This window comes from Homo sapiens, chromosome 3 (assembly GCF_000001405.40).
Source record: "Homo sapiens chromosome 3, GRCh38.p14 Primary Assembly".
Taxonomy (NCBI): Eukaryota; Metazoa; Chordata; class Mammalia; order Primates; family Hominidae; genus Homo; species Homo sapiens.
The window spans coordinates 166,685,430-166,697,967 of NC_000003.12; the positions used below are offsets into that span (position 1 = coordinate 166,685,430).

The 12,538-nt window shown below is 35.1% G+C and overlaps 1 pseudogene; it reads left to right on the forward strand.

Annotated features, from left to right (window-relative positions):
- Window positions 5,758-6,485, forward strand: PSAT1P4 (phosphoserine aminotransferase 1 pseudogene 4; annotated as a pseudogene).
- The last annotated feature ends 6,053 nt before the right edge of the window (window positions 6,486-12,538 follow it).

The window sequence follows — 12,538 nt, forward strand, 5'->3', positions numbered from 1 at the left end:
GGAGCCTCCCTGTGGCATAAATGTGAGCACCTGCAGAGATTAACTACAGAGGTGATTGATGTGATTGTCCTGCCCCACCTGCACATATAGCTTTCTTATGCCCTCTGGTACTGCTCAGGTGATATCCAGGATATACCACTGCTATCTTACAATGGATTGTTCAACTGTTGCTGGTCTGCATGACCTGTGACTTGGTGGATCTGACATTAACCAGCTCATTATGGGCAGCTCTGGCCACATGGTCATTTATTATACCATGGTTAGACTCTCTGTATTTACCAAGGTCCAAGAGAATGCCAGCAGTTTTCTGAAAATTTTGTAATTTTCTGATACACATAACACAGTTCCATTCCAGAACTCTAGTGGGATTCATTGGAATTCCTTTATTGATGCTCTAATATGATAGGGTCATATTGCATCATATTGCTCAAAGTAGCTGGGTGTTTTGTACCATAACCTGCTCATGCTATACAACATCTAGACTCCATTTAAAGCTGGTATTCATCCTGCCTATTGATCCGAATAGTATTCCTAGTGTAGAGTATGCTGTCTTCAGAAGCCAGATAGGCCTACTAGGCATTGTGCAGCTTTATTATGCTCTCTGCTATAAGGCATGCACGTGCCTTGGAGGGCATGTTTCCACAAAGGCCACTAATGTACTAGCATTTCTTTCTCATCTGGGATTATTAGCTTAATGCAATTGACATAGAGACACAGGACAAAACTCTGCAAAACATCCAGTAGTTCTAGGTCTCTTAGGTCTCTTCAGATTATAACAAAGGAAAGAAGAGTTATCATGGCCCTGAGTGAAGGCTATAAATGTATACCATTGACCTTTTCACGTGACTGCAAACTGCTTTTAATCTAAGTCAAAGCAAACTGTTTTTGGACAAAGGTGATGCAAACATATTTACCAGGTCAATGGCTCATATCATGTATATTAGCCTATGTTAATCTGTTCTACAGATTATCTATCATCTGGCAGAACAGCTACAGCTGAGTTGAGTTTATTACTTGCTTGAGATTAAAGGAGTCTGCTGTCATCCTTGAATTCAGCTGGTCTTTGCACAGGCCAGGCTGGTGAATTAACAGGTGATAAAATGAGGACACTTCACTTGTATTCTTTAGTTTAGACTCTTTAGAAATAGCACTTATTTCTGCCACCTATTTTAGGATGTGATATTTTTATATTTACTATCTTATATTATAGAAGAACAGTTTAAAAACTTTCAGTTGTCCTTTCACACTAAGTCAGCTCTCACTCCACATAGGCCAAATAGCAAATGTAGGAAATGTGGAAGTATCAATTATGTTAGTTCCAACTATACATTTAGCAACCAGGGAAATGATCATTGGATTGTGGCCTTAGAAGCTCTGGACCCACTGTGAGGACCTAGGCCAGACTCTACTCATCACCTCACTCACATTTGTCTCCACTCTTACCAAGAAGTCACAATGACAGCTTGAATGCTGGCTATCAATATTAGCTCAAGCCCTTGTCTAATGGTTTTGAAAAGATTTTATGTTGTCCATTTTCTCAGTGTATAACCAGGCAAGTAAATTGACCATTGGTCTCTTCCAGAAAGGACTGAGGAACCATCACTGTGCACAATGGCTGTGGTATTGTCAGTCCTTCCTCCTGGGGTTCTGACTGACTCTTCAGTTAATGTGTTTTGGATCCCAAAACTGTCTGAGTTCTGGAGTCTTTATGATGAAATCGTGGCTGTCTTTTGAAATATCTACCTTTTTCATTCATAAAAGTTCTTCTTTCTTTCTTGATTATAGAGTATGAACAGTCATAATCTCACTGGCTGCTCATCTATCTTGCCGTTAGGAAAACGGTCTTTTATTTAAAAAAAAATTATAACTCTATGCAACTTAGGCTCCTATGGCTGCCACTGTGATGTTGCTTCCAATAACAATAACTGAGGCAGCCTGACTTCTGATGTTTGAATACCACCAGATACCAGATAACTTATTTGTTTTGTTTTTTGTTTTTGTTTTTTTTGGTCAAATGATGGCACTTAATCTTTGCTCTCAGAGAGCCAAGTTATTTCCTGATGTTAAAAAAAGCAATTAGTGAACTTGTTAGTAAGGATGCTACTTTCTCATTAACATATAAGTAGACCTTGTCTGTGCTTCACAAACACTGCCTTTTTTATAAATTGAAGGTTTATGGCAATCTTGCATCAGGAACATCTATAGGCACCATTTTTTCAACAGCCTAGGCTCACTTGTGTCTCTGTGTCACATTTTGGTAATTTTGCAATATATCAAAGTTTTTATTATTATTACCTGTTAAGATGATCTGTGGTCAGTGATATTTGATGCTATTATTGTAATTGTTTTGATATGTCATGAACCGCACCTATGTAAGACAGAAAACTTAATCAGTAAATATCGAATGTGTTCTGACTGCTCCATAGACTAGCCATAGCCCAGTCTGTTTCCCTTTCCTTGGGCCTCCCTACTCCCTAAGACACAATAATATTGAAATTAGGCCAATTAGTGATTCCACAATAACCTCTAAGTGTTCAAGTGAAAGGAAGAGTTGCATTTCTCTCCCAATAAATCAAAGGCTACAAATGATTAAGCTTAGTGAGGAAGGCATGTTGAAAACTGAGATAGGCTGTAGGCCTCTTTTGCCAGCTAGCTAAGTTGTGAATACTAAGGAAACATTCTTGAAGGAAATTAAATGTGCTACTCCAGTGAACACATTAATGATAAGAAAGAAAAACAACATTATTACTGATATGGAAAAAAAGTGTAGTGGTATGAATGGAAGATCAAATCAGCTACAACATTCACTTAAGCCAAAACTTAATCCAGAGCAAGGCCTTAACTCTCTTAAATTCTGTGAAGGCAGAGAAATGTAAGGAAGCTGCCCAAAGAAACCTTTGAGGCAAACAGAGTTTGGCTCATAAGATAGTAGGGAAGAAGCAATCTCCATCACATAAAATTCAAGGTTAAGCAACAAGTCCTGATATGGAAGCTGCAACAAGTTATCCAGAAGATCTAGCTAAGATAATTAATAAAGGTGGCCACAAAAGTCAACAGGTTTTTAATGTAAATGAATTAGTCTTTTATTGGAAGAAGATGACATCTTGGGCTTTCATAGCTAAGAAGTCAATACCTATCTTCAAAGCATCAAAGAGAGGGGCTAACTCTTGCTTCAGGGTAATGCAGCTGGTGACTTGAAGTTAAAACCAATGTCCATTTACCTTTCTGAAAAGTCTAGGGTGCTTGAGAATTCTGATAACTCTACTCTGCCTCTGCTCTGTAAATGGAACAACAAAGCCTGGATGATGTTTAATTTATTTACAGCATGGTTTACTGAATATTTTAAGCCCATTGTTGAGTCCTATTGCTCCTTTAGATTAGATTCTTTTTAAAAGAGTACTTATTTATTGACAATGTGACTCATCACCCAAGAGCTCTAATGGAGACGCACAAGGAGATTAATGTTGTCTCATGCCTGCCAACACAATATCCATTGTGCAGCACTTGAATTGAGGAGTAATTTCAACTTTTAAATCTTATTATTTAAGAAATGATTCCTTCAATGAATATGGACAAAGGAAACTGAAAACCTTCTGGAAGGATTCACCTTTGTAGGTACCATTAATAACTTTGGCGATTCATTCATAGGAGGAGATCAAAATATGACATTAACATGAGTTTGGAAGAAGTTGATTCCAATCCTCATGGATGACTTTGAGCAGTTCAAGTGGAGGAAATATCTGCAGATGTGGTGAAAATACCAAGAGAATTAGGACTAAAAGCAGAGCCTCAATATATGGCTGAACTTTTTTCTATTTCATGATAAAAGTTGAACCCATGAGAAGTTATTTCTCATAGATGAGCAAAGAATGTGGTTTATTGAGATGGAATATACTCCTGGTAAAAATGCTGTGAACGTTATTGAAACAACAACAAAGAATTAAAAATATTATTACCTCAAATTAGTTGATAAAGCAGATTTGAGAGGATTGACTTTAATTTTGAAAAATTCTACTGTGGGTAAAATGCTGTCAAATAGTATTACATGTTACAGAGAAAACTTTCATGAATGGAAGAGTAAATCAATTTTGCAAATATCATTATTTTATTTTAAGAAATTGCCACAATTGCTTCAACTTTCAGCACAATCACCCTGATCAGTCAGCATCAAAAATATTAGGATATGCTGAAGACTCAGATTATTGTTAGCATCTTTTAGCAATGAAATTTAATTAAGATATGTACATAATTTACACATAATGCCATTGCACACTTAGACTACAGTGTAGTATAAACCTAACCTTTTTTTTTCTTTTTTTAAACTTTAGGGTCAGAGAATACATGTGCAGGTTCGTTACATGAATATACTGGTATAGTGGTGAAGTTCATGCTTCTAGTGTACCCGTCACCCAGATAGTTATCATTGTACCCAAAAGATAGTTTTTCAACACTCAGTTTCCCCTAACCTCCCAACTATAGGAATCCAAGTGTCTGCTGTTTCTATCTTTGTGTCCATGTGTACCTACTCAACATAACTTTTATATGCACTTAAAAATCAAAATGCTCTTTGTGACTGGCCTTATTTTGATATTTACTTTATTGCAAGAGTCTCAAACCAAACTCCTGATATCTTACACAGAATATCATTGCAAGCAAATTGTTGCTTTTTAATTCCTTCTGCCACATCTGCCACAGCAACCTTGGCACCTCAGTAAGTCTATTAGTTTCCTACTGCTACTATAACAAGTTACACATATTTTGGGTTCTTAAAACAACACAAATTTATCTTACAGTTCTAGAGGTCAGAAGTCTGAAAAGGGTCTCACTGGGCTACAACCAGGGTGTTGGCAAGGTTGCATTCTTCTGCAGGCTCTAGTAAAATACATTTTCTTGCATTCTCCAACTTCAAGAGCAAGCTTGCATGTCTTGGCTCATAACTCAGCAGCACCATTGCCCAAATTCCCATGTTGCCATCTGTCTGGTTCTTTCTTCTTTCACTTTTTTTTTTTTTAGATGTTTTAGGACTTTAATGTTCTTTACATATTCAACATAAAATACTGACAATAGATAAACAATAGGGGAACGACTTTTCAGCAAAGTATCACTCTCGTCGTCAAACATTACAAAGAAAACAGTCAAGAGAACAAAGGATAAGGTAATTTAACAGAAATATTTAATTTAATGTCATAATTGAAAAACAACCAACCAGTCAACTTTCTCTTCTACCTATGGAAAGAATGATAAAAATGAATCAAGAACTTCTGGATCTTTTTCATAAAACAGCTTAAAAAGAAGAAGGGGAAGACTGGGGAGGGGTTGCAACTGTTGCTAATGGAATAATGCACAAGGTCAAGGATTTAATAACTTCTAAAAGTGTCTACATGTATCAGTGTTAACCGTATTATTAGAAATATAAATGTATAGAAACATAAAGTATATGGTATTAAAAACCGACCTTGCTAATGTAAACATACATAAAGTATGTATCTTCTCTTGTAATAACAGTATAAAGATCGATCTACAGTTTGCCCTTTGCCTGGTACTCTTAAACCACTCCTCCAATGGGCAATGCTGACCTTGAATCAACAGCCACTGAACCCAGGAGACTCCACAGATGTCTAGATTCAGCACCTAGACGGCCCCACCTACCCTCTATGCTGTGTGTTCCCATGACTCCAGAAACAATTAATTGCAACTTACATTATGAAGTCCACAGGGAAGTTTGAAATCTAACTAGAAAAAGTAGCAGCAAAGGCATTTTGCTGGTGCCCAGAAGAATGTTGGCTCTGCTGGGGTCACCGTGGAGATTGTCCATGATGACCTGCTGGGATTTGCCCTCCTAGAGTGCCCCTCAGTCCTGGAATACAAGGTGCAGGCTGGAAACAGCTCCTTGTACAACATGCCTCCATGTTTCAGCATCTACGTCAGGGGCTTGGTCCTGGAGTCGATTAAAAACAATGGAGGTGTTGCGGCCATGGAGAAGCGTAGCTCCATCAAATCTCAAATGATTTATGAGATTATTGATAATTCTCAAGGATTCTACATATGTCCAGTGGGGCCCCAAAATAGAAGCAAGATGAATATTCCATTCTGCATTGGCAATGCCAAAGGAGATGATGCTTTAGAAAAAAGATTTCTTGATAAAGCTCTTGAACTCAATATGTTGTCCTTGAAAGGGCATAAGTCTGTGGGAGGCATCTGGGCCTCTCTGTATAATGCTGTCACGATTGAAGATGTTCAGAAGCTAGCCGCCTTCATGAAAAAATTTTGGAGATGCATCAGCTACAAACACATCCTAACCAGGATATACTCTGTTCTTGAACAACATACAAAGTTTAAAGTAAATTGGGGATGGCTAGAAAAAGTTAACAAACACAGTATTTTTCTCAAATGAACATGTTTATTGTAGATTCTTCTTTTTTGAAGGAACAACAGCAAAACATCTACAGCTCTGTAAAGCTGGTGGGACCTAATGTTCACCTTAATTCTAACTTGAACTGGAAGCATTTTAAGAAATCTTCCTGTTGCTTTTCTTCTTTCACTTTTAAGGTCTCTTGTGATTACATTATGCCTACCAAGGTAATTTAAGATAACCTCTCATTTAGAGGTCAACTTACTAACAATCTTAATCTTGTCTGAAATATTAATTCTCCTTTTCAATATAGCCAAACATACTAAAGGTTTAGGATCTTAGAATATCTTTAGTGGACATTATTCTGCTTACTACAGTCTGTATATGCTATTACATTTTCATATTTCTAGAAGCCATTCTACCAGTGTTTCTGCCCCATCTCCCAGAGTTTCTGTGTGAATATTTAACCATGGGACTTTCTTTAGAGGTCAAGTGTTCTTACAACTAAGCAGGGCCCTGGTCCTCAGCTTTCTCTTCCTACCCAATGTAGAAGATGAGATCTACTTTGTACAATAATAAGAAGACTTGGTTTTACCTTTACAGTTAGCATTAGTTGCCAATTAATTGCTCTGTTTTTTGTTATTTTTCCCAAAGTAATTAAACTGAGCAATTCTATTGTACTCAATGTTATTATTTCCCCTATACTTCTCCAAGGACTGATGGAATACCTAGCTCGCATATCCCCACCAATTATATCATCCCAGTTTATCACAGGTGAGCATGTTAACAATTGCACTGCTACCTTTGTCGGGAGCTCTCTCTGCTCCACACCATGCTTATGGAATCCTCATTTCCAGATGGGAGGTATTTAATCCAGTTCAAAATCTCACCTAAGTGTTTTCTTTCTGACAAAAATGCTGTGTTAACATTTCCAAGTTGGCTTCCCCTGCAAGCAGAGTGTAAAATGAAGTTTTGCATATAGTCGTTATATTTTGGAGTGTGCTTGAATTAATTCCTCTAGAATGGAGAGGAAGAAAAAATGAATGGACAAAGAGACAAATCAAGTGATCTTAAAGGAAACCTCATAAAACCATGTGAAGAGTTCCACAAATAGTATGGAGAGGCTAAGGCCCTGGGACAGATGACTCTCTTCAACTGAAACAATTCCTAAAGAGTGCTGAGAGTAGAGGACTGAACAATAAATCTTATTTCTGAAGAGTATCTCTGAGTATCACAGCATCCATGAATTTATAGTAGATCTTTCTCTTGCTAACTCTGTCTTTCTCTTAAAAACTAGTCTTCCCCACCCCAATTGCACTTTGCATTTAGAAATAAAAATCCTAAAAACACAAATCACCTCAAAGTACGAAAATAGAGGCATGACAAAATGCCTGAACAAGAAAAAAGAATGAAAACAATAGCCTGGCTTGAATATGAGAAGAAAATGAAATAAATACAGGTAGAATACCAAAGTTAAGATATACATATCTGCCATATATGTTACAAATCCAGATTATATTAAAGGCAGGCAATTGAAATTCTCTTACGCTAAAAACAAAGTTGCATTATTTTCCAAGAGCATGTTCAGGGAACTTTACATAATTAATGCAGTCATTAATTATTTCATTACAATGTTTGACTACCTATTCTGTGTCTGACCATGAATTAAGTGCCATTGATTCAAAAGTATATAAATAAAACAGAAATATGCATGATGCAACTTATTTCCCATGTGGAGGCAAACAGTAAGATATAAAATAAAAACTCTAAAAAACAAAATATCATTATTTCAGAATATACGAAATATTTTTATTATAATAAGTAGTAAACGAACCAGGTGATGTGATAAAGAATAACTTGGGAAGATATTTTAGCTAAGAATTATTTAATATTAGTCAGGTTATCAATAATTATTGTTCAATTTTTAATAAATTAAAAGTTCCTTGAGATCCATTGTCCAGTTTGATCTTTATTTCTTAACATTTTCTTCATTTCATTTAGAATTCCTTGGTAAAACCCCACACCATAGCTTCTTATCATAGTTACTAAAACAGTAATAATATAGCATATGGTTTACATTAACTGTTAATATTTTAGAATATTCTAATCTAAATTAACAGCTCTATTTCTCTTTTCTTAGGATATAAATATTTATTCATTATAGGTACTATGTTATTGCGATATTTCTGAAGTTCATTTTGATTCAATTTTCAATGTTAACGGAAATTACTGACATATTATTACTTAAAGAATTACAAACAATGGTAATTACTAACTAAAGGAAATCAAGATGAACAATTTTTAAATATATAAAGGTATTGTGTGCTTTGTGGGTTTAAAATGGTTAAATTATTTTTTAAAAGTATAGTACTGTAAAACTGTAAGTTTAAACTATTATCACTTACTTTGCTTGAAACTGATGGCTTAGAAGATGAAGTTCCTTGCATGTACATTCATGTGTGTATGTATTCAGCGGCTTTTTATTATTTACTTACACATTATAATTTATTATTGAAAAACGGTATTTACCATGTATACCTGTATTACGGTTAAGTATAATTTCAATCTAGAATAAAAAATCACTTTAAGTTCAAGTTATTCCTTTAAATCTCTGGGCAAGAGTCAGAATTTCTTTAAATCAGAGATTTTTAACTGCCGAACACAAACTACAAATGAGAATTTCCTTGGCAATTTAGGGTACTGTAGAAGCATGATAATAAAGTTATTTTTTAAATGATTCATATAGGTATGTCTGTTTATAATACACATGAGAAACTCCAATTTCATTATATACTTGAACAATTCCATAGAAAAACCTTCAGAATAAGATGGTTAGACAATAACATAGCCCTGCTTAGCACATTGCTGTATAATGTTTCTTTTTTCTTTTTTTTTCTGAGACGGGGTCTTTGTCACCCAAGTTGGAATGCAGTGGTGAGATTTAGGCTCGCTACAACCTCACCTCCCAGGCTCAGGTGATCCTCCCACCTCAACCCCACAAGTAGCTCTGAAACTACAGGCACGCACCACCACGCTCATCTAAATTTTTGTATTTTTGGTAGAGATGGGGTTTAGGCTTGTTGCTTAGGCTTGTCTCGAAATCCTGAGCTGAGGCAATCCATCCACCTTGGCCTCCTTAAGTGCGGGGATTACAGGCCTGAGCCACCTTGCCCAGCCTTGAATAAATTTTACCACAGAAACCCTTGAATATGATCGATTTTCTTTCAAATAGAAGAGGACATACACACTCCTCAATGTAAGCCCTTTTAAATAAATTTTTTAAAATCCCTCACCTAATCCCCTCAGAAAAATGTTATAGTTTAACATGGTGTTCTATTTCAAGAATTATTTTTTCTAATAAAACGGATGTACACAGGGCTTTGAGCAGCTAGACTTGATGACATAGAAAGGTGGCAGCAAACTAATAGGTACATATGCTCTCAGAGGCAATTCGTAGAAAGAAAAAAGGTCACATCACATTTTTCATTGCCTTTGTTCTAAGAAAGAATGCAGGTTTCCTGGATGTCTGCAACCCAGCATTCAATTGCAGGTGAGGCAATTGTTTTAGGTAAATAAATTTCCAATGGAAGTGCTCAGTGTTTCAGCGCAAACAGGAATCTTGCACTGTACCCTCAAAGCATTGACATCAGCTGTGTCAACTGATTCTGATTCTGAATATAAAAATCTGATTCATCACAAGTTTGACACATGCTGCTTCAAAAAACTGAAGGAGGCTCCAAGTCTCATTCAGAGCTGCAGCCTGGCAACAATTTCATTTTTGTCTTCTAAGTTGTTTTCCTTTCACCCTTTTGCTGAGCAGAAACTAGAAAATGGTTCTGAGAGGAGCTGCATACTGCAACAGATGTATTACACATAAATATACAGAAACATACAGAGAGCCCTGGAGAATATAAGCTAGTGTTATTCACAAAATCTGTCAATTTCCTAAATCTCAAGGCGTAAAACAGAAATAAATACTACATTGATCTTGCTAATAATCATTATGAGATAAAGAGTTACTTCCCAAGTAATGACTAATAAAATCTGTGAAACAAAGAGAAAATAAAGTCCACGAGGAAACTGTGTGATACTGAAAGAATAAGCAGAAAATTTAAGTTGATAATTTTCTTTTTTCCATCCTCTAACAGAGCCATATGATTTATTTTTAACTTACAAGTTACTTAAATTCTTGATGTAATATGTATTGTTATCTTAAACCCATTCTGGTTTTCTGTATAGTTCATTTCCCCTAGCTCCATTCACCCCTTCAGCACCACTGTGTCAGGGTTAGGGATAGGGCAAATATGTTCATTACACAGTCTTGTTTTACCCAGTCTTTTTTTTTTTTAAGGGCCTTTCCAGTTCCTGCATTTATGCCTTTAAAAACTTGCATCAATACCTTGTGATCACGATAACAGATATGTCGATTATTCTTACTTTTTCATAAATACAGGTCAATATTTTTCTCAAGAATGTTAGCACTTTAAGGCTCAAGCAATGTTACCTAGTAAGAATGCTGACTCAGTTAAAAACTGTAAAGCTCTCACATGTAGAGCTAGGAAGAGATTTTTCATGATGTAGAAATTTCCTTTTATAAAAACCTGACATCTATTCTGACTATAAAGTTTATTCTGCCCTAGTGTTTGGACTTCTGGTAGGCTGTTTTTTTAAACCCTAGTTGCAATTAAAGTGATTAATCTCACTTTCTTAATAAATAATAAAATTTGGCCTTCAATGAAGATGAGTTTCAGTAATCTAAGCAATAAATCAACCCCAAATTCTTTATTTCTTACTGAATACAGATAAGTGTGTTTTGTGTGTGTGTATAATATATAATATATATAAACTATAATTAGGTCCTGTATAATTACCTTCAAAAACTGTCTTAATAGAAATGTGACTGTATGAAATATTAATCAATTTAAAATTATTGAACCCTGATACTTTGTCATAACAAGTGTGTCTATTATCATGCAAAGCAACATAGACTATATTTAAATTAACCATGAATGAAAATTTTTTATAAGTCCATCAACCTTCTGTTTCTTTGTGTACGTGTGGAAAGAGTATTGCTATGGCACTTAAATGCACAATTATATATTTAATTTAATAGGCTACTTCATTTTAATAAAATTCTAATTTTTATGAAATTCTAATATTGCTAACATTTAACATCAAGAAAAGCATTGCTAGGGTAAGCAAATAGTACTTTAAAAATGATAATTTACCCATATCAATCCAAACTGAATAGGAATAGGAAAATAGTCCTCCTGAGTCTACCTTATTTTTTATATAGGAAGTCAAAACAATATGTTATTGATGAAATGCCTGAAAGTCTCTATGCAATGCAAGAAGAATATTAATATAACAGAGTTCCAGCATAAAAATATAGAGCTATGTATTAATCAGAGTGAATTATAGCTTTGACTTGCATTGCGCTCTAAATAAATGCAGGTGAGAAAGAAGGGGTTAAAATTAATAATTTATACTAAAACCAGTAAAACAATAGTAATAAACTTAGTAAGTACCTAATTCAGCACACCATTTACATTTTACATGTATTAGAGGCAATTTTTGAAAAACTGTGTTGAATACACTTGAATATCTTACACAGTCATGTATTGTGAACTGTGTTGAATACACTTGACTATCTTATGCAGTCATATATTTTGCTCATGACTGCATTTTTAAAATCCATATTTTATATTTCTCTGTATTCCACATATTTTGGTCTTATTTCTTCCTATTCTGTTCACAAGGGATTATAGTCCATGCCATGATTTATAGATGGATTGTGTATTTTGTGATGCAAAACTCTTATATAACTGGATTTTGGCACCCTACTCCCATAAAAAATAAATAAATAAAAGGATGTGATAAGATCTGTCAATGCATTAGGAAAAAATGTTGTCCACTCAGCATTTTGGGGATAGAAAGAAGGGAGGACAACTTAAGGGCAGAGAATATTTATTAATACTTGGGAATTAGTAGCTGAGGATTAAAATATGATTATTTGCTATTTGGCTTTCAGTGTTCTGAATGATTCCTTGATGTTACAATAATGTAGTTACTACAGAACTAACCTGTGATTAAGGGGGCGTCTTCTCTTTTCTTTCCTCTATGTTAATTATAAGGAGGGATTCCACAAATGAAAGGCATAGCATCTATGTGAATTTAATGACATGT